Raw genomic sequence first — 21,187 nt, 5'->3', positions numbered from 1 at the left:
AAGAACTGTAACCAAGCATTTAGAAAAAGTTGTTTTGAGTTTTCTCTTGAGCAATGAAAAGATCAAAATGGCACATCTGTGTGATAGGGATGGGTACAAAGTAGCAAATAGGAGGAGTGAGTTGCATGTGCCTCAGCCAATGAGTAGGCCAAATAGATTATTTGCTGCCTAACACATCACCCACCCATATAGCAATGGACAATCATTTCCTTCAGAGGAGCTGCTACTCATTTTTCCCAGGCTAAAATCTCTGTAACCAGCCTGAATCAAATAATGAGAGAGGAGAGAGAATGAGCAAACCAAACCCAATTAAATACAGGCCAGATGGTAAATGCTATAGATAAGATAAAGGGTCAAAGGAATAGGGAGAGTTAGGGGAAAGGGTGTTGTCCTTTTATATAGGGCAGCTGAAGTGCAACATAAATGAAAAGAAGCAGTCAGTCCTGCAATGCTCTGGAAAAGTGTTCCAGACAAAAAGTGCAAAGGCCCCAGGCGAGAAAAAGCTTGGTGGTTCTGAACAAAGAAAGCTAATGTACCTGATGTATGGTGACTAAGGGAAAAGTTGCAAGAGATGACACTAAATGCAGGTAGGCATCAGTTCATACAGGGTCTTGGTGAATAGTTTGGATTTTATTCTAAGGACAATGGGAGGTCTTTGGAGAATAGGAAATAGGAATTGATATATCTGATTTATGTTTTTCTTTCTTTCTCTCTTTTTTTTTTTTTTTTTTGTGGAGTCTCATTCTGTTGTCCAGGCTGGAGTGCAATGGCATGATCTCAGCTCACTGCAACCTCCACCTCCTGGATTCAAGTGATTCTCCTGCCTCATCCTCCCAACTAGTTGGGATTACAGGCACCTAGTATCATGCCCAGCTAATTTTTGCATTTTTATTAGAGACGGGGTTTTGCTATGTTGGCCAGGCTGGTCTCAAGTGATTTATGTTTTTCAATACTCTGGCTGCTTGGGAAGAGAATGGATTTTTGGAACATATGAGTGTAAGCTTAGGAAGCTATTGCAATAGTGCAGTCAAAGAATGAAGAGGCTTAATTTAGGAAACTGCAAGTACAGCTAGTGAGAAGTGGCAGGGTTTGGGACATTTAGGAGGTAAAGATGACAGGATTTGCTGATGAATTTATATGTGTGGAACAAGAGAACTGGTTTTTAGCGGAAAGTGGCATTATTTTCTGAGGTGTAAAACATGACTAAGAAGAATGTTGTTATGTGTGTGGAGGATGATGACAGTAGGGCGAATGGATATAAATAGTTGTGTTTTGAGTATTTTACATGTTCAAGATGCCTGTTAGACATCTGGTTAGGGATGCTCAGTAGTGAGTTGATGTACAAATCTGGAGCCCAGGAAGATGATCAACGCTGGTGGTAAAAATCTAGGAGCCATCAGATGGTACTTAAGCCATGGAAGCAAGAGATAATGCCTCAGGTGACTCCCAACATTCAGAAGTCCAGCCAAAAAGGGTAAGTGAACACTGGAGACTGAGAAAAGAGAAAGAACAGCCCATACTGCAGGAGGAAACCAGATTGGTGCAGCTTCCTTTAAGCAAAGACTCCTGGAACCTCCACTGAAAAGAACTTTAAAAGCCAACTACTCTGTTCCATTGATCTATATCTCTGTTTTGGTACCAGTACCATGCTGTTTTGGTTACTGTAGCCTTGTAGTATAGTTTGAAGTCAGGTAGTGTGATGCCTCCAGCTTTGTTCTTTTGGCTTAGGATTGACTTGGCGATGCGGGCTCTTTTTTGGTTCCATATGAACTTTAAAGTAGTTTTTTCCAATTCTGTGAAGAAAGGCATTGGTAGCTTTATGGGGATGGCATTGAATCTGTAAATTACCTTGGGCAGTATGGCCATTTTCACGATACTGATTCTTCCTACCCATGAGCATGGAATGTTCTTCCATTTGTTTGTATCCTCTTTTATTTCCTTGAGCAGTGGTTTGTAGTTCTCCTTGAAGAGGTCCTTCACATCCCTTGTAAGTTGGATTCCTAGGTATTTTATTCTCTTTGAAGCAATTGTGAATGGGAGTTCACTCATGATTTGGCTCTCTGTTTGTCTGTTGCTGGTGTATAAGAATGCTTGTGATTTTTGTACATTGATTTTGTATCCTGAGACTTTGCTGAAGTTGCTTATCAGCTTAAGGAGATTTTGGGCTGAGACATTGGGGTTTTCTAGATATACAATCATGTCGTCTGCAAACAGGGACAATTTGACTTCCTCTTTTCCTAATTGAATACCCTTTATTTCCTTCTCCTGCCTAATTGCCCTGGCCAGAACTTCCAACCGCATATTCTCACTCATAGTTGGGAATTGAACAATGAGCTCACATGGACACAGGAAGGGGAATATCACACTCTGGGGACTGTGGTGGGGTGGGGGGAGGGGGGAGGGATAGCATTGGGAGATATACCTAATGCTAGATGACAAGTTAGTGGGTGCAGTGCACCAGCATGGCACATGTATACATATGTAACTAACCTGCACAATGTGCACATGTACCCTAAAACTTAAAGTATAATAATAAAAGAAAAAAAAACTTAAAACAAAACAAAACAAAAAAAGCCAACTACTTCAGTCATCCAACTCATTTCAGTTTTTAAATACCCTTTCTATCACAAAGGGATAAAACCATGCCTAAATCAGTTTACATTATCTCTACAATATCCTAACCCATTTAACATGATCTCTCCATAATCTTCCTAATAGGAGTTCATGTCTAATGGGGAATACAGTACTACAATGGGACAGGTTTCCATGGACAAATCTTAATACCGTTATATGGGGGAAAAGTCAAACTAAGAAAACTCTGAACTCTGAATAAGTTGCTTTTTAATTAAACACATGTCCCAAGACACAAAAAAGATAAGGCTAAAAGCTTTAACGTAGCTGATTATTCAGAAAAGATAAAAAAGGATGGCAGGCAATATATGATGTAATCTAATTTCAATCTTATTCTGCATAAATGGCCAATAAAACACATGTGACAGATAATCTCTATGAAGAAAACTGGCTGGAGTAGGGGATTATTCCTTGGCAATATTCCATAATTATAATAACAAAGATTTATCTTTCACGCTTTCAACCAACCTGCAAATGTTTATAGGGAGAAACTGGAGACCATGAAACTGTACTGCAAGGATGACAAATACTTTATTATTACTGGGCAGGTGCTCTGGGAGAAAGCACGGATAGAATTTTATTGTTGAGGACTGAGTTTCTCTGAATACATTTTGAAGGTGTGGAACTGAACTGGAAGAGGCTACATTATCAGTAATGCAATTTTAAAACCAGTTGCTTTAAGAATTCCATATTTTCAGTGTGTTGAATCTGATTATAGATCAGAGGATCCTAGCATTAAGACTTGTACTCTAATTCTTTTCTCTTAGCAAATCATAATCTTTTGGAACTCTCAGCATTCAATTACAAATATTTGTTGCCTGTTATGATTTTTCTTCTAGTTGTAACACATCCTAATTCTTACAGGATAATAAGTTATAGGCTCTTTTGCACTTAATATTGGGGATAATAATTATCACTGATATTTAAACTATTATTTACAAACACTACAATCTATTTTCCTCTACAATGATACCTTTATTCTCCCAACCAATTAAACTTCCTTTGGCCAATATTTGCAATATATTTATTCTTACAATTTATATTTATTCTTTAGCATGACATAATAAAAGTCCTTATTTGTTGTGAAATTAACAGTGTATTCCACTTCCCACTTGATTCCAAGCTAAGAGATTGTTATTTTACAAATTAAAATTTATTTAGGACTTTCTTCAGAGACAGAGGAGAAGCACTCTTAAAAGTCTTCTGTTTTAAGTGATACTCCAGGTTAACTAACACTTGCTTCATTTTATAAATCAGGATCCGCAAACTAGAGCCTATGAGCCAAATCCAGCCCGCAGCTTGGTAAGGTAAAGAAAGTCTGACTGCAATACAACCACACCCGTTTGCTTACTTATTATCTATGGCTACTTTTGCACTAGAGTTGAGTAGCTGTGACACAGACAATATGGGCTCACAAACCCTAAAATATTTACCATCTGGCCCCTTACAGAAAATGTTTATCCACCCTTGCTCTCAAGCATAGTGACCAATGCCAAAGGCAATGTGAACACACACAGCCAGTAGGTGCTCTCTAATACTCCTCTACATTTCTGCTCCAACAATTCATCTGTATGCCTCCAAGAACAGACTGTACAATATTTGTGCCATTTATATTTATAACTATAATTTAATTACCTATGAAATAAACTGATAAAATAAGTCTAAAAAATTGTTGGAAAGACTCAGGAGTAAACAAAATTGCTATTAGGTGAGGCAAAGGTATAACAACTGTGCAAGATTGTGAAAACGTTGTACATGTCCAGAATATTTTTTCTTCATGAAAAAACCCTCAAAACTAGAAATTATAAATGATACACAACGAAAGTGATTTGTGTAAAGAAAGATTACTCTGAACTCTGTACAACAGATAAATCATTAAAAGTATATAATGCATAGTAAAAACAAAGAACAAAAAGATAAATCATAATATTAAAAGATTGGCAGGTACAAGTATATTGGTGAGCTTTAGATTAAACATATTTAAGGCATATATCTATCATTTTACTAATTCCATGCTTTTTCTTTTTTAAATATAAAATATGCCATACTTACAGAAAAGTACAAAACATATACGTTTATTTTGTTTTTTTTTTTGAGACTGACTTTTCTTCTTGTCGCCTAGGCTGGAGTACAATGGCGCAATCTTGGCTCACTGCAACATCCACCTCCCAGGTTCAAGCGATTCTCCTGCCTCAGCCTCCTGAGTAGCTGGGATTATAGGCACCCACCACCACGCCTGGCTAATGTTTTTGTATTTTTAGTAGAGACAGGGTTTCACCATGTTGGTCAGCTGGTCTCGAACTTCTGACCTCAGGTGATCTGCCTGCCTCAGCCTCCCGAAGTGCTGGGATTACAGGTGTGAGCCACCGTGCCCAGGTTATGTTCCTTTTAATGTTACTGATATTTCAGAAGTTCTCCAAGTTCCCCCTCCCCAGTCACAGTTCCTTCCCTTCTCCATAGACATAATTCAATATCTGGAGTACCCACAAGTGTCCAACCCTTGTTTGGTATACTACATTCAAATATTTTCAGCTGAAATAAAAGAATAGATACTTGGTTAACAATTGAGCCATTTTCTTCATTGTATTACCATCAATATCAATAAACGTTAGAGTTCTGATATCTAATATTTTTAACTTGGACTTGATCAAGAAATTAATTTTTACCTACTAAGTTTATGAAGGAGTCATGTTCAGTGATGGAACTCATCATAATGTTCATTCATTGATCCTAACAAGGCACAATTAAGTATGTAAGATTTACTAAAAATACATTTCAGTAGACCTCCAAAAACCATTATTTATAAATGATTAGAGATTTTCTACATTGGCAGCAATTTCTCAGAGAGATACAGAGAAAAAGAGAGAGAGACAGAGAGAGAAAGAGAGAATGCACTTTAGTAATTCAAACTAATATTGATAGGTAAAGGTTATCTCAAACAGATAAAAATTGAGAATTATTAAATATTTTTAAAACCATTAGATCACCTCTAAATATATAGAAAAGACAAACTTGTCTATTAAAGTGTTGAATTATTAAAAGTTTTAGCTGTAGTAGTTAACAAAAGGAGATTCCATTAAATACAGTGTCAATGACACATATGTAAACTGATTAGTCTGAAGTGCTTAAAAACATTTTAAAAATTGTTATTCCCCTTTAGTTTACATTATTAATTTTTACTGTAAGAAAGAGTTTTGCTGAACAAAAGTAAATTATAGCTCAGATGTTGCTGAGTTCCAAATTAGTAGATTTCCAGTGTAATAAAATATAAATTTGAGAGGTTTTAAAATATCCATAGTCTGTTGTAAGGAGGGAAGACTTAACTATAAAATGTAGGAAATCGAAGTCACATCACCCAAAGACAGCAATTTTAGCATCACCGTTGGTGGGTTAAATAGATGTTGTGGTATGCCTAAATAAGATGTAGCAACACACTTAATGATGTATTCTATTGCAAAGTGCTTAACTTGAACCCATCAGGCCTTTATGTAAAGTTCAACTTGCAAGAATATACAGGACAAAGAAACAGGATAAATGACATAAGGAGGTAATAGACAAATCCAGAAGCTGAGGCATTCTGAGGAACACCTGTCCGTGTCTCTTCAACAAAGAATTTTGCTGGATTAGGCTGGGCACAGTGGCTCAAGCCTGTAATCCCAGCACTTTGGGAGGCCGAGGTAGGCAGATCACCTGAGGTCAGGAGTTCGAAACCAGCCTGGCCAACATGGTGAAACCCCGTCTCTACTAAAAATACAAAACAATTAGCCGGGCATGGTGGTCCGTACCTGTAATCCCAGCTACTTGGGAGGATGAGGCAGAACTGCTTGAACCTGGGAGGTGGAGGTTGCAGTGAGCTGAGATTGCACCACTGCACTCCAGCCTGGGCAACAGAGCAAGATTCCATCTCAAAATAAATAAACAAACAAATAAATAAAAGAACTTGCCTGGATTAAAAAATACTTAAGGGACATATCATCCAGACATAATGTGTAATCCTAAATCAGATCTTGCCTAGACACATCAGCTGTGGAACATTCCTTGGGGTCACAAATGGAAATGTGGTATGTATTAGATAAGACAAAAATCTACTGAGATGGAAGGATAAAGATTATTGATTTTAAAAAGCAGGTTAGAATGCTCTTTGTAAAATATCATTTCATACTCTCCTTCTGGTTTAAAAATGTGTATATATAGGGACATAGAGAAAGTCTAGCTTTAACAATGATGATCTTAGATGGTAAGAATGTGATCACTGGAAGTCCTAGATAGTGGAATCAGAGAAGAGAAAGAAATAACGTACAAATTGGGAAAGAAAAAGTCAAATTATCCTTGTTTACAGGTGATATGATCTGATATTTGGAAAAAGCTAATGATGCCACTAAAAAACTATTAGAACAGATAAGCAAATTCAGTAAAGTTACAGGATACAAAATCAACATTTCTATATGCCAACAGCACATAATCTGAAAAAGAAATCAAGAAAGTAATCCCATTTATAATAGCTACAAATATAAAAAGATACCTAGGAATAAACTTAACCAAAGAAGTGAAAGATCTCTACAATAAAAACTATAAAACACTGATGCAAGAAACTGAAAATACAACAAAATGGAAAGATATTCCATGTTCATGGATTGGGAGAATCAATATTGTTAAAATGTCCAGACTTCCCAAAGCGGTCTACAGATTCAATGCAATCTCTATGAAATACCAATAATACTCTTTACAGAAATAGAATAAATAATCCTAAAGTTTATACTGAACCACAAAAAACCTCCAGTAGCCAAAGCCATCCTGAGCAAAAAGAAAAACACTTGAGGAATCACACTACCTAATTTCAATTATACTACAAAACTATAGTAACCAAGACAGCCATAGTAACAAAAGCTATAGTAACCAAAACTGTACTGGCATAAACATAGACCAGTGGAACAGAATAGAGAACCCAGAAATGAATCCATACATCTACAGTGAACTCGTTTTCAACAAAAGTGCCAGGAACATTGATATGGTTTGGCTGTGTCCCCACCGAAATCTCATCTTGAATTGTAGTTCCCATAATCCCCACATGTCATGTGAAGGACCAGGTGGGAGGTAATTGAATCATGGGGACAATTACCCTCATGCTATTCTTGTGATACTGAATGAGTTCTCACAAGATCTGATGGTTTTATATGGGGCTTTTCCTTGCTTGGCACATCTCTTTCGTGCTGCCATGTGAAGAAAGACGTGTTTGCTTTCCCTTCCACCATGATTGTAAGTTTCCTGAGGCATCCCCAGCCATGTGGAACTGTGAGTCAATTAAACCTCTTTCCTTTATAAATTTCCCAGTCTTGGGCAGTTCTTTATAGCAGTGTGATAATGGACTAACACAAACATACACTGGGGAAAGGTCTCTTCAATAAATGTTCTGGGAAAGTTGGATACCCGTATGCAGAAGAATGAAACTAGACCTCTATCTCTCACTATACACAGAAATCAAATCAAAATGGATTCAAGACTTAAATCTAAGACTTTGAACTATGCAACTACTACAAGAAAACATTGGAGAAACTCTCCAGGCAATTGGTCTGGGCAAAGACTTCTTGAGTAACACCCTAGAGGCAGAGGCAAACAATGCAAAAATGAACAAATGGAAACACATCAAGTTAAAAAGCTTCTGTGCAGCAAAAGAAACAATCAACAAAGTGAAGAGAGAATCCACAGAATGGGAGAAAATATTTGCAAGCTATCAATCTGACAAGAGATAAATAACCAGAGCATATAAGGAGCTCAAACAACTCAATAGGAAAAAATCTAAAATTTGAATTTAGAATAGGCAAAAGATCTAAATAGAGATATCTCAAAAGATGACATACAAATGGCAAACAGGTATATGAAAAGGTACTCAACATCACTGATCATCAGAGAGATGCAAATCAAAACTACAATGAGATATCATCTCACCCCAGTTAAAATGGCTTTTATCCAAAAGGCAGGAAAGAACTAAAGCCGGTAAGGATGTGGAGGAAAGGGAACTTGTGTACACTGTTGGTGGGAATGTAAATTAGTACAGCCACTATGGAGAACAGTATGGGAATACCTCAAAAAACTAAAAATAGAGTTATCATATCATCTAGCAATCCTACTGCTAGGTATACACCCAAAAGAAAGAAAATCATTACAACAAAGAGACATCTGCATTCCCATGTTTACTGCAGCACTATTCACAATAGTCAAGATTTGGAAGCAACTGAAGTGCCCATCAATAGATAAATGGATAATGAAAATGTGGTACATATACACAGTGGAGTTCTATTCGGCCATGAAAAAGAACGAGATCCTGTCATTTGCAACAACATGGGTGGAACTGGAGGACAATATGTTAAGTATTAATAAAATAAGCCAGGCACAGAAAGACAAACTTCACATTTTCTCACTCATTTGTGAGAGCTAAAAATCAAAACAATTAAACTTATGGAGATAGACAGAATGGTAGTGGGGGTGATTGGGAAGTGGGGATAGTTAATAAGCAGAAAAATATAGTTAGATAGAACGAATAAGAGCTAGTATTTTTCAGCACAATAGGGTGACTACATTTAAGTGTACAATAAATTACTACACAGTAATTACTACACAGTAATTTGTTGTACACTTAAAAATAACTAAAAACATATAATTGGAATGTCTGTAACAAAAAGAAATGATAAATGCTTGAGGTGATGAATACCGCATTTACCCTGATGTGATTATTATGCATTGTATGCCTGTTTCAAAATATCTCATGTACCTGATAAATTTATATACCTACTATATAGTCATAAAAATTAAAATTAAAAATGTGATCACTTTATATTTGCTTATAGTATTTTCTGGTTTTTTACAATACACATGTACTGCTTCTATAATAGTTTCTACGGAAAATTTATGACTTTTCTGTGGTATCAATAGATCCATTTATAATGGTTCATCATAGAAACTTTGTTAGAAAAAAGACAGATACTGACATGAGTGGAAGGTAAAAGGAAACTGGGGGTTTATATAAAAAGATCTCAACTTTAATTCTCTGACTCTTTATAATGCTTTGAATTTATCAAGATACATTTACTGCCTTTCATGTCATTTCACATACAAAATGCTGTGCATTAAAAATGTTGTCTTGACTTTTTCTCACCGGAGGCATTACAGCTCTTCTCATTATTATTAGATAGCTCAGTATAAGATGTACTTCGCTAAATAAACTCACAAAGCATGAAGAATTCTAGATACCTCTGCATAATAATCTACCTGTTTCTTTTTCACCAGGAAGGGTCAAGCTTAATGGTTGTTAGGATCACTACTATATATGCAAATTGGATTCCTACAAAATAAGCAACCATTTTAGAATATACATATTCACACTCTAATTGCCTTAAAAGTGAGTCATGGAACATAAAAATTACTTTCACTAAGAGAGTACCCAATTTCAGCTGAATATACAACAAACCAACTTCATATCATTTATTTCCAATATCTTAAGTTATATTATTTGAGAATTGTTCACATTTTAAATTTAAGACTGATCTTTCAAAAGTCCAACTTTTTTAAAAATGGAAAATCACTTGGGATATTTAACAGTTACTTATTTAGGTCAGAGTCAATTAGATCTGGAAGTTAAAAATGTATGAGTTTGAAGCCTACCCCTGATTGGCTGCATAACCTTAGGCAAGTTATCTAGCCTAGCTAAATCTCAGTTTTGTTTTGTTTTTTTTTTCAGTCTATAAAATGGAGAAAACACTATTTATGTCAGAGTGTTGTGATGATTCAATGAGATTATGCTGCCTGTTACATGGTAGGCACTCAATAAATATCCATGACAATGATGGTAATGACTCTCAAAATCCTGATATGCGATTCCAGTCTGATATATCCCAAGAATATTGAGGATGCTCCTTTACATCTCCACACAGATGTCTGATAGGTATCTCAGTCTTCTCAGACATAGCAGGACTACTGCTCCCGCTTCAGCCTGCTTCTCCCCTGGGGCCCCCATCTCAGTAGATGGCATTATCAGTAACCTAGGAGTCATTTTTTAGGACCTCAACCTAGCAGTCATTTCTATCCTCTTTTTCACACATGGCAGCAAATTCCTGTGAGCTCTAGCTTCAATCTGTTTTGATCCTACCACTTGTGTAGGTCTATCACTACTACACCAGTCCAAGCCAGCATCATCTTTAGCCTGGGCAACCACAAAGACTCTTGCTATAGCTCCCTGTTTTCACTCGTGTCCTCCTGCCTCCTTTAGTCTATTTCTCACTCTGCTGCCAGAGTGAATCTTTAAAATGTAACCCAGGTGATGTCACTTCCCTGCTCAAAAAACCCTTCAATGGCTCCCCATCACACATAGAACAAAATTCAAACCCTTCCCTATCCAAAAGATGCTAAGTGATAGGGCTTCTGCCAACCTCATCTCCTAGCACCTTCCTCCTCACTTGCTCAGCTGCAGCCATCCTGGCCTCCTTTGCTATTCCATGAGCATCTTAAGATGGGAAGACACACCTCTGCCTCTGCACCCTTCAATATGCCAGTCCTTCTGTGTGAGGCATTCCTTCCCCAGATAGCTGCATGGCATTGCAGCTCACTCCTCTACTCAGGTATCAGGCTTTTCCTGGACACCCCATCAAAAGAACCACATCCATAGCTCTGTTTCATTTTTCTGTATGGCATTGTCATGACTTATTTTATATGTGTGTGTGTATACATGTACTTGTATGTATATAAATTCATTTATAGTTTGTCTCCCAACTCGTACATAAAATCAATAAAGATGAAGCCTTCATTTTATTCACTGCTGGATTCCCATTGTCAGGAATGGTGCTTAGCACCTTTTAGGTATTAAAGAAGTACTTTTCTATACACGGAGAGTTTTTCTTGTATTAAAGTTGGTTTGGATGGGCTGGGCACGGTGGCACGTTCACACCTGTAATCCCAGCACTTTGGGAAGCTAAGCCAGGTGGATCACGAGGTCAGGAGTTCGAGACCAGCCTAACCAACATGGTAAATCCCCATCTCTACTAAAAATACAAAAATTAGCTGGGTGTGGTTGCGCACGCCTGTAATTCCAGCTACTCAAGAGGCTGAGGCAGGAGAATTGCTTGAACCTGGGAGGCCGAGGTTGCAGTGAGCCAAGATTGTACCACTGAACTCCAGCCTACGTGACAGAGTGAGACTCCATCTCAGAAAAAAAAAAAAAATTGGTTTGGATTTAGCCAAGTACTCCAATCACTACGAAAATGAACCCCAATCAAAAAAGCAAGAAAGAATATTAGTTCTTTTATATTCCCTATACCTTGGAGAAACCTGACAGATTTAAGTTTGAAAACTGGGGTTATAAAATTCTTTATTTTTACTCAAAAAACTAAAATAAAATCTTTTATTTAGGAAATCTAGGGGCAGTGTAACAGAAAAAGTTCGTTTTATTTCATTAGGGTGCTGGAAGAAGTAAGTATTTAAAACAACACAAAAAGGTTCTGCATTTAAAATAATCAAGTGATTACTTGAATGAAATATTTTGTAATAAATGAAAAAAGAAAAATTTCCCTGGTTTTATTTATTACTACATGGTTCTATATAAACAAATTATGATATTATAGGATAAAGTTGTTTTGAGACGAAAAGAAAAAATTCACATCAGAGGTTGGGTGAGGTGGCTGGCCAGGCACAGTGGCTCAGGCCTGTAATCCCAGCTCTTCTGGAGGCTGAGGCAGGTGGATCACTTGAGCTTAGGAGTTCAACATTGGCCTGGGCAACATGGTGAAAGCCCATCTCTACTAAAAATACAAAAATTAGCCTGTGTGGTAGCATGTGCCTGTAGTCCCAGATACTCGGGAAGCTGAGGCAAAAGAATCGCTTGAACCCAGGAGGCAGAGGTTAAGTAAGCCGCGATAGTGCCAGTGCACTAAAGCCTGGGTGACAGAGTGAGACTCTGTCTTAAAAAAAAAAAAAAAAAAAAAAAAAGAGGCACATCAGAGTGTTAATAAGCTAAAAAATAATTCCTTCCCTCAACAATTCTTTTGTAGAAATCCCAAACTGTGGCTGAACAGTTTGGCACAGCTAAATACATGAGACTTAAATTCACCAGAAAAATGAAGTTGTTTTAACCTACTGTATGTTTAAATTATGACGGCTACTATGAGCCATAAAATATTCTATAATAAAACTGTTGAATCCAGGCAATACAAAGCAGTATATGAATAAAATTCCAGCAGATAACCCTCTGAACCTCTATGACTTTATCTGTGCTGTTTTTATGGCACTTAATCACTTGTTATCTTTTATTTGCAGGCAGTGGCATTTTTGGACATGGGATTTTTGTGTTTCATCTTTGCAGTCTCTTACAGTGTTAGCACAATTACTGGGCTACTCAGTACATGTTTTCTGAATGAAAGGATGAATTAATAATGTGGAGGGTTAAAGTTGGGGAATAATGGCAGTAAATGCTGCATACATATAATGAATATGTATTAGGAGAGCTCTAAATAAACCTAATTACTGCTTTTTTATATCATATCCTATGAGAGAATGTACAGAGACTTAGTTACATCTGTAAATGTCACTTATGTGCACTCTATTTTGCATCCCAGTAATGATCACAACTGTAATAAAGTAATCATCCATTTAATCATTTCTTAAGTATGTCTTCTCCACTTTAAATCCTAGAGGGTAAGGGCTGCATATGGCTTCTAAGAGCTTCAGCATCTCACAGTAGTGGGGGCCCAATAAATATATTTTGAATTAATGAATGCAGTTAGGGCTGTGCCACTGCATAACTTGCAAATGACTGGGCCCTGTCTTAGCTAAGTTTACCAGGCTTCTCACAGCTTCACAGAATCTAACCAGTTATTTTTCATTGGTTTTAGGATACACGCTTTTTCACATGCATCTTACAGATGATAGTGTCTTCATATTACGGATAATTTAAATAAAAGTATTTTTTTCTTTTTGAGTATTACGTAAAATAACAGTCTTAAGAAATGACAGTATTTTCCAATCAACGAAATATGGTTATTGTTAATTTCATTTTAATATGGAAAAGACAAAAACTTCAAGTACTCACATCAATTAAATCAGAAAGATCATGAATATAGTACTTGAAAACTGAGGCATTGGTGGCTTCAAGTGTTAGGAGATATTCGTTCCGTGCCTTAATTGATTTTAGCTTATTTTCTGAATATTTTGCTTGTCTCTGGAATGAAGAAGATCCAGGCATTGGGAAAGAATGCAAAGTCATTTTTAATCAAGACAGAGAAACATACATGCATTTTTATTAACCTTAACAATTTATTCCACATATACAAATGACCCTGAAAGTCCTTTGCCAAAAGTACATTTTGAATCTGATTTAAATAGCAAACTAAAATTACCCAGCTATGGGGAATAATAACAATGTATTTGGGCTTCAGGCCCATTTGCAATGAAATCTCCTTGTTAATATTCAAGTTCTCCACACTGTGTATTGAATACTTGGCATTCACCACTAAATGATGTCCAGCTGTTATTACATGATTTTTATATTTCCTAAACATTTCTCATTCCCATGGGAGGAAATGCATGTCTTTTCACAATAACTTACAATGTGTGGATATCAGCTATTGCATCAGTGTTCTTAGTATTGTCTCCTCAAATGAAGGCAGAAGAGCTCTGCAATCTCTTTACTTACTTTTTCTTTCATTTTTTCAATTTTCTTTACAGAGCTTCGCCGTTGATGTCTCTCCTCTAGTCGAATATGGAAGACTGGATCACCAGATCTCCCAATTTGCTTTTCCTCTTGTTTTTCGGCCTCTTTCAGCTTGCTCTCTGCACTGATGCTCTCTGCATGATACATATGGTATGTTTTCATCACCTGTGGAAAAGTGACCCAAATTGTTACAAGATGTCTGTCTGTCATTTAGAGAGTGAATGGGAACCATTTATACGACGTATATGATACACATACCACCTTCCAAATGGCAGAGGGGAAAAGTCAGATTGTCAGTAAAGTAAGTGAATTATGGACTACTGCTTCTACATAAAGCACACAGAAATATGCAAATTCATCTGCCAGGAAAAAGCACCTAGAGGACAGGATTTGGTGAAAAAATGATTTACGGAGTCTTATGCATACTTTTCAATGTACTTGAAAAGTTCTCTTAAGCTTAAAAGTATTTCTGTAAAATCTCCTCTACATTATTAATTTGCAGAATAAACCGTTTATTCATGGATTGATTTTAGCCCAACCCAAACCCAAATTAGTACAGTCTTTATTAAAGGAATTTTATTGCATAAAATCTATTTTTCAAAGTAAAAAATGTAAATATTAAGGTTCATACATAGTTTTAGTTGAAAAAACATTGTTTTTCTGACCACAAAGTAATATATATTTTTTATGTTCAATGTAGAAAACATTTATTTTCTTAAAAAAACAAACAAACAAAAACAAAACAAAACAAAAAAATAGGCCGGGTATGCTGGCTCATGCCTGTAATCCCGGCACTTTGGGAGGCCGAGGCAGACAGATCACTTGAGGTCAGGAATTCGAGACTAGCCTGGCCAACATGGTGAAATCCTGTCTCTACTAAAAATACAAAAAGTTAGCCAAGTGTGTTGGCACATCTGTAATCCAGCTACTCGGGAGGCTGAGGCAGGAGAATCACTTGAACCTGGGAGGTGGAGGTTGGAGTGAGCTGACATTGTGCCACTGTACTCCAGCCTGGGTGACAAAGTGAGACTCCATCTCAAATAATAATAATAATAATAATAATAATAATAATAATAATATAAAAGAAAATAAAGAAAATAAAAAGCAATCAAAGATAACCACTGACAAGATTTTAGTATAAAGCCTTCCAGCCTTTTCTCTATGAAAACACACACACACACATACACACATGTACACACATTTCTTCCTTTAAAAATGCCATATATGGCTGGCTACTGTAGTGAGGGGATGGCAGTTAAAACTAAGGGCAGGGCATGGTGGCTTCACGCTTGTAATCCCAGCACATTTTGGGAGGCCAAGGTGGGAGGACTGCTTGAGCCTAACTAAGAGTTTGAGACCCGCCTGAGCAACACAGCGGGACCGTCTCTACAAATATAAAAAAATTAGCTGGGCCTGGTGGCATGCACCTGTAGAGCCAGCTACTTGGGAGGCTGGGGCGAGGGGATTGGTTGAGCCCGGGAGGTGGAAGTGGCAGTGAGCTGAGATTGTGCCACTGCACTCCAGCCTGGGTGACAGAGTGAGACCTTGCCTCAAAAAAATAAATAAATAAATAAATAAATAAATAAATAAATAAAATAAAATGCCATATATGATTTCTCTCTTTAAAAAACTGAGATCATCCTACGTTTGTAATTTTTAGATTACAATGTCCTTTGCCACTTAGATATCAGCATATTTTCCTATATCATTAAATATTCTTCTAAACATAATTTTAAGTGCTACATAGTATTTGTCTATATGACTGTTCCATAACTTAATTCCCCATTGTTAAAAACTTTAGGATATTTCAACTATTTGCTTTATAAAGTTGTGTTAAAAACCTTTGATGTATATCTAATTTATTCTCTTAGAAATGATATATGTAATTTGAATTTTAATAAATTTAGGAATATATAGAACATAACAATTTCATAATGTATTAAAATTTACAGAATGAATCCTCAATTATTACACATTTTGGCTATATTATTGTTACAAAAAAGTTTGTGTACAAAATTGTGTCATATTTCCTAGGACAAATTTTCAGAAATAGAATTGCAGCATTAGAGAATATGCACATTTTTGAGACTTAGTAATATATTGCCAATTTTATACTCAGCTAATTAAAATAAACTGATCTATTGTGTTATCTCTGAAAGTATTTCAGACAACATAGGTGCTTAATAAATATTTTCTTAAATAATAAACAAGCTATTCATTATTTTTATAACGGTACCTATAAATCGGTATGTAATCTCTGTATTCTTAGGTACAGGAGAGTAACAGTCACAGATTTCAGAGTCACAGATTTTATCTGAAAATCATAATTTTTCCAATATAATTTCAGTATGCTTTCATATGTCAGACATCCGGGTGAATTCGAAAACCTGTGTATTTTGAGCACAATTATGCTCCTTAAAAGAAACAACACATGTAAGGTGTGATGACTCCAATGCAAAGGATGTATCGAGGAGCACACCCGAACTCGGCACCCAGTGCTAAGCATTTGTGGCAGTACTTTATTATAAATGATGTCAAATTCTCATCCCCAGAAGACAGACTTCATTTCATATGGAAATAACCACGTTACTCAGAGCCAATTTTATAACTAAGGTCTAAGAAGTTGAGAATAATGCAATGTTTTCAAGTAATGAATTTGATTTTTCTCATTTCAAGAGATGAGTTTTTAAATAGTTTGAGACCTGGAAGCATCACTGGAACAAATATATTTATTTAGGTTAATCCATATGAAATTGATGTTTCTGTAGGTTATTAAAAAGGTGGAAAATCAGCATTTTCTTATGGTTCAACTTAACACATGTTCTCAAGATGACTATTTTGAAGGGTAAAACATGGGGTTAACGAAGAACCTTTACTTATTTTCATAAAATCTGATGATGGCTTTCCTTAAAAATGTAAGCTGGTAAATCATGTTAAAGGCATTACAGAGCCAGAACAAAGTAAGGGCTAAAATATAAAGCACTGGCAGCTTTTTCTGAGCCGTGTGTAATTGGAAAGTTGTCTGTTTTTAGTAATTATTGAACCTGTCTGGGAGAAGTTTGGTTGGCTACTCCAGTTTAAAAGCAAAATAAAATAGCAGTAGGAAGCAGCTGAGCAGCTGGGAAATGAAAAGGGAGTCACCCCGCAGCTGGGCAAACAGCAAAAGGTCAACGAATCTACACACACCTTGCATTTCTTTCTAGGCTTGGCTCTTGTTATTCCCTGCCTGAAGCAAACCCACATACTATTATATTTGGGTCTTGGTTCCAGTTATATCTTAAAATGAGAGGGTGTACACACACACACACACACACACACACACACACGTTGCTCAGCTGTCTGTATTCTTGCTAATAGGAGTGAGGAAATGAGAACATGTGACTCTCATTACACTTGGATGAAAAGGCACCTCAGGCCACCCCGAGTATCTGAGAAATATTTCTTTTAAATAAATTATCGCAAAGAAAAAATCTGAACTTCTGACTCTTGCTTGACTTGGACACTGAGGACTAGTATAAACAGGTAGTTTGCACAAACTAAGCCTGAGAGAAAGGATACTGCGCTGACTGCCAGCAGGGTGTTCCTTACTGACTAGTGTGGGTTAAAAGGAAAACATTTGAGTCTGACCTAACGCTGGAAAGAAAAGAGTGTATCTCATCATAATGTGGTTCAGCACAATAGCTGAGTATTCTCTACCTAGTTCGGTGGTAATTTCCGGAAAGCAAATTTCTTTGTTGAGTTTTCCAATTTGTCTTAGGGTTTCCACTATTCACTAAAATGTTAACAGTTACAGTGAATGAATTTTAAAAGTTGGGGAGATAAACGCTAAAAGCTTTTTCGAGAACTCTAATTGCAGATAATGAATGCAAGTACAAACTGCATTATTTAAAATGTAAGCTGTTGACAGAAGTCAAATGTATTTTGTGTTTAAAATAACAGACAGTTCTCTTTCTTTTTCAGAGAAGTAAAGGAAAGCTTTTATTTTTTACAGGTGCATTTTGAATACATACTGCAAAGAAAATAACAGCTTCTCCACCAGCTTAATGCAAACACAAGCCTTTGCATACCAAATGACCTGACAGGCATATAGCCATGTAAATGTACTCCCATAGCATATTTTCCTGTTTGAATTCTTCTCTACTAAAACTTCATGCATAATTCTCCATTCAATACACCTAATTTATCTTTCTTGCTCCATTTTTCCTCAACTGCTGAAAAAATAGTCAAGTAGAAAACGACCCACGTCATGAATTTCCTTAGGAGATTGGGATATCCTATATGATAACTTGCACAGAAGTTAATATTTTTTTCTTACTGACATGGCCATATCATGTATCTGACACTACTCTTATAGTTTAAATCAAAATAATAAAAATACCTGTAGCAAATTTAATGCTTCGTGTTAAGAAATCACTATATATCTGAAAACTATATGTGTTGGAGAGATCAATAGATTAATGATATAGTTTCTACTTTTTGACTACTGGCTCAAAAGTTAGAAGACACGGATCCCAGGAATGGATCTACAATTACTAGGTGTCGGGAAATTATTTAATGCCTCTTGATTACTTTACAAGGTCGTCATGGATGCCAAATTGTGTGTCCCTGTGTGTGTATTTTTTTAATTTAAATTTTATTGAGTATTTACTATATATATCTATGTATACAATATATACAGATATGTACATATATACGTATAATTTACTTTAGCAAGCATTATATAATGCTCACTATGTGCTAGACATACTTTTCAGCATTTTACGAATAACATATTTAATCCTTCTAGAAACTCTTATGAAATAAGTACCTTTATTCTTCCCTTTATGTTGATGAAAAAACTGAGGCAAAGAGAGGTTATGTAACTTGTCCAAGGTCACACAGCTGGCACAGCAATGGTGGGAACCCAGACAGCCTGGCTTCAGATGAGGTGTTTGGGACTGCTACGCCATAACCTTTGGAAAGTCTAAAGTATCATACAATTGGAAGGCCTCTTTATCTAAGGGATACAGTCACTCTTAGTTATATGTAGGAATAGAGGAAAAGAGAGGATGAAAGATATTTATGTATTCAACATGTGCTTGGTGCTTACCACCCATAACCCACTGATGGGTGTGAAAAGAAATACTTGGTTTCCATCTTCTAAGAGTTTAAAATTTTGGAGACTAAAAAATGGGCCTTTGATATTCTGATGGGCACAGATGAAGGGAGGGCATCCAGGCTAGAAAGATGGTACAAGCAAAGTTCTAATAAGGCAGGGATGCGGGAAAGCACACAGGTGAGGTGGGCATGAGCAGACCAAGATGGCAGAGAAGGGGTCCAGGGAAGAACTTGGAAAGTAGATGGTTGGGTAACAAGCTGAAGGATAAGATTAGATAAGTTGGCATGGGCCAAAGAGTCTTGAAACCCCCACTAAGAAGGGCATAATGTATTCTATAGGTGTTGGTGAATCCACAGTGTTGCAGACAGTATGGTCAAAGCAGTGTCTTAGTAATAACATGGTGGAGATATGCAGGATGGCTTGGGGTGACTTCATTTAGTACGGAGGAAGAGGGAATGGACAATAAGAAAAAGAATCCACGATGACAGTTATAAGGCCTTTTCCCTGTTACCATTCTCTTTGACCTTTTCTTAAACTTGACATGATTCCCTCTACCATGGAGTTCAATGCTATCAGACTGGTCCCAACACCCATCCAAGCAGCAATTTGTGTACCACTCTGAGTCAGTCACTCACGGCTCCCTCCCCAGAATTTATATGTTCCTGCCTCTGCAGCTTCTCCCAAGCAAGTCCCTGAGCTGCTGTCCCCCAGCACCTCCTCCTTTTGACATTTGACCCATTCTCCATGGCAAGCTTAAATCTCACCTATGGCTAAGTGTTCCCTGGCTTCTCAGCCAGAGGGATCTTATTCTTCTGATTGCCAAGACAAGTATTGTCTTTCAAGACAGCTCTTCATTCAGAGTCTTCAGCACATAGCACTTTAGCTATATGTCACAGATCTCTGTGTACCACCCAGATTGTGGACTGTCCTGTAAGAAGAGCCAGGGTACCAGTCATGTTTATGTACCTTCAGATTCTTAAAACTGTCTCATATACAGTATGAGTAAAATAGGTGAGAATCAAATGAAGGATAAGAACCCATTTTATAGTAAGCTTGTCCATCCATTTATTCACTTAACAAATATTTATTAAACATCTACAATGCATCTGGCATTGTTCTTTTCTATCCTCGGCTTCCAAAATAGCACCAGCAATAAATACCTGGGATTGGACTAATGGGATGACAAATAGTTCTAAGTCATTTGTGAAATATGGTTAGTGTTGGAATTTATGGCCTCTCAGAAAAGAAATGATGTGGTGGTTTGGCAGGGAAGGGAGATGAAAAACAGTATGTTAGTGACAATATTTCCTAACTCTATATAGCCTGCTGCTTCACTAAATCCATTAATCACTAAAAGCTCTTCTGAGAAACTACATTCTTTGGGTTTCTTATCAACTACCTAAGATAAAGATCTATTTTCTACAATCAATACATAAGAGGACTCTAACTGTAGCTGAATTTCTGCAAGTGCCAGACTAACCAAACCACTGGGGTAATACCACAGCCTTGGAAGCCCACGCCCATTGTTTCCCAGGAAACTCTCAGGTGCGTGGGGAAAGCCACCAGGGCCACCTTCAGCTGAACCCCAGGAACCTAACACAGCCACAGTACCTCCCTCCAGGTCACAGCCTCTCTTTGGGCAAGCTGTCTCTCTGGCGGCTTGAGACAGTGGTAGTGGGCAGGAATTCCCTCAAAAAGAGCACTCAGGACACGTGTGCCATGATCTTTACATCTGCAATCTCCAGTCTTCTTGCTCTTTAGTA

The 21,187-nt window shown here is 36.9% G+C and overlaps 1 protein-coding gene across 4 annotated transcripts in view; it reads right to left on the bottom strand.

Annotated features, from left to right (window-relative positions):
* The window catches only part of SRGAP1 (SLIT-ROBO Rho GTPase activating protein 1), a 317,518-nt gene that overhangs the window by 104,937 nt on the left and 191,394 nt on the right, over nt 1-21,187 (bottom strand). For all 4 annotated transcript variants that reach the window (NM_020762.4, NM_001346201.2, XM_024449096.2 and 1 more), the window contains exons 5-6: nt 14,309-14,491; nt 13,706-13,834 (exon numbers count right to left, since the gene is read on the bottom strand). In NM_020762.4, coding sequence (NP_065813.1) covers nt 13,706-13,834; nt 14,309-14,491 — 312 coding nt within the window. The remainder of the gene's footprint in view (nt 1-13,705; nt 13,835-14,308; nt 14,492-21,187) is intronic.

This window comes from Homo sapiens, chromosome 12 (assembly GCF_000001405.40).
Source record: "Homo sapiens chromosome 12, GRCh38.p14 Primary Assembly".
Lineage (NCBI taxonomy): Eukaryota > Metazoa > Chordata > Mammalia > Primates > Hominidae > Homo > Homo sapiens.
The sequence above is the reverse complement of the archived record's forward strand: the minus strand, read 5'-3'. Positions and strand labels throughout refer to the sequence as shown.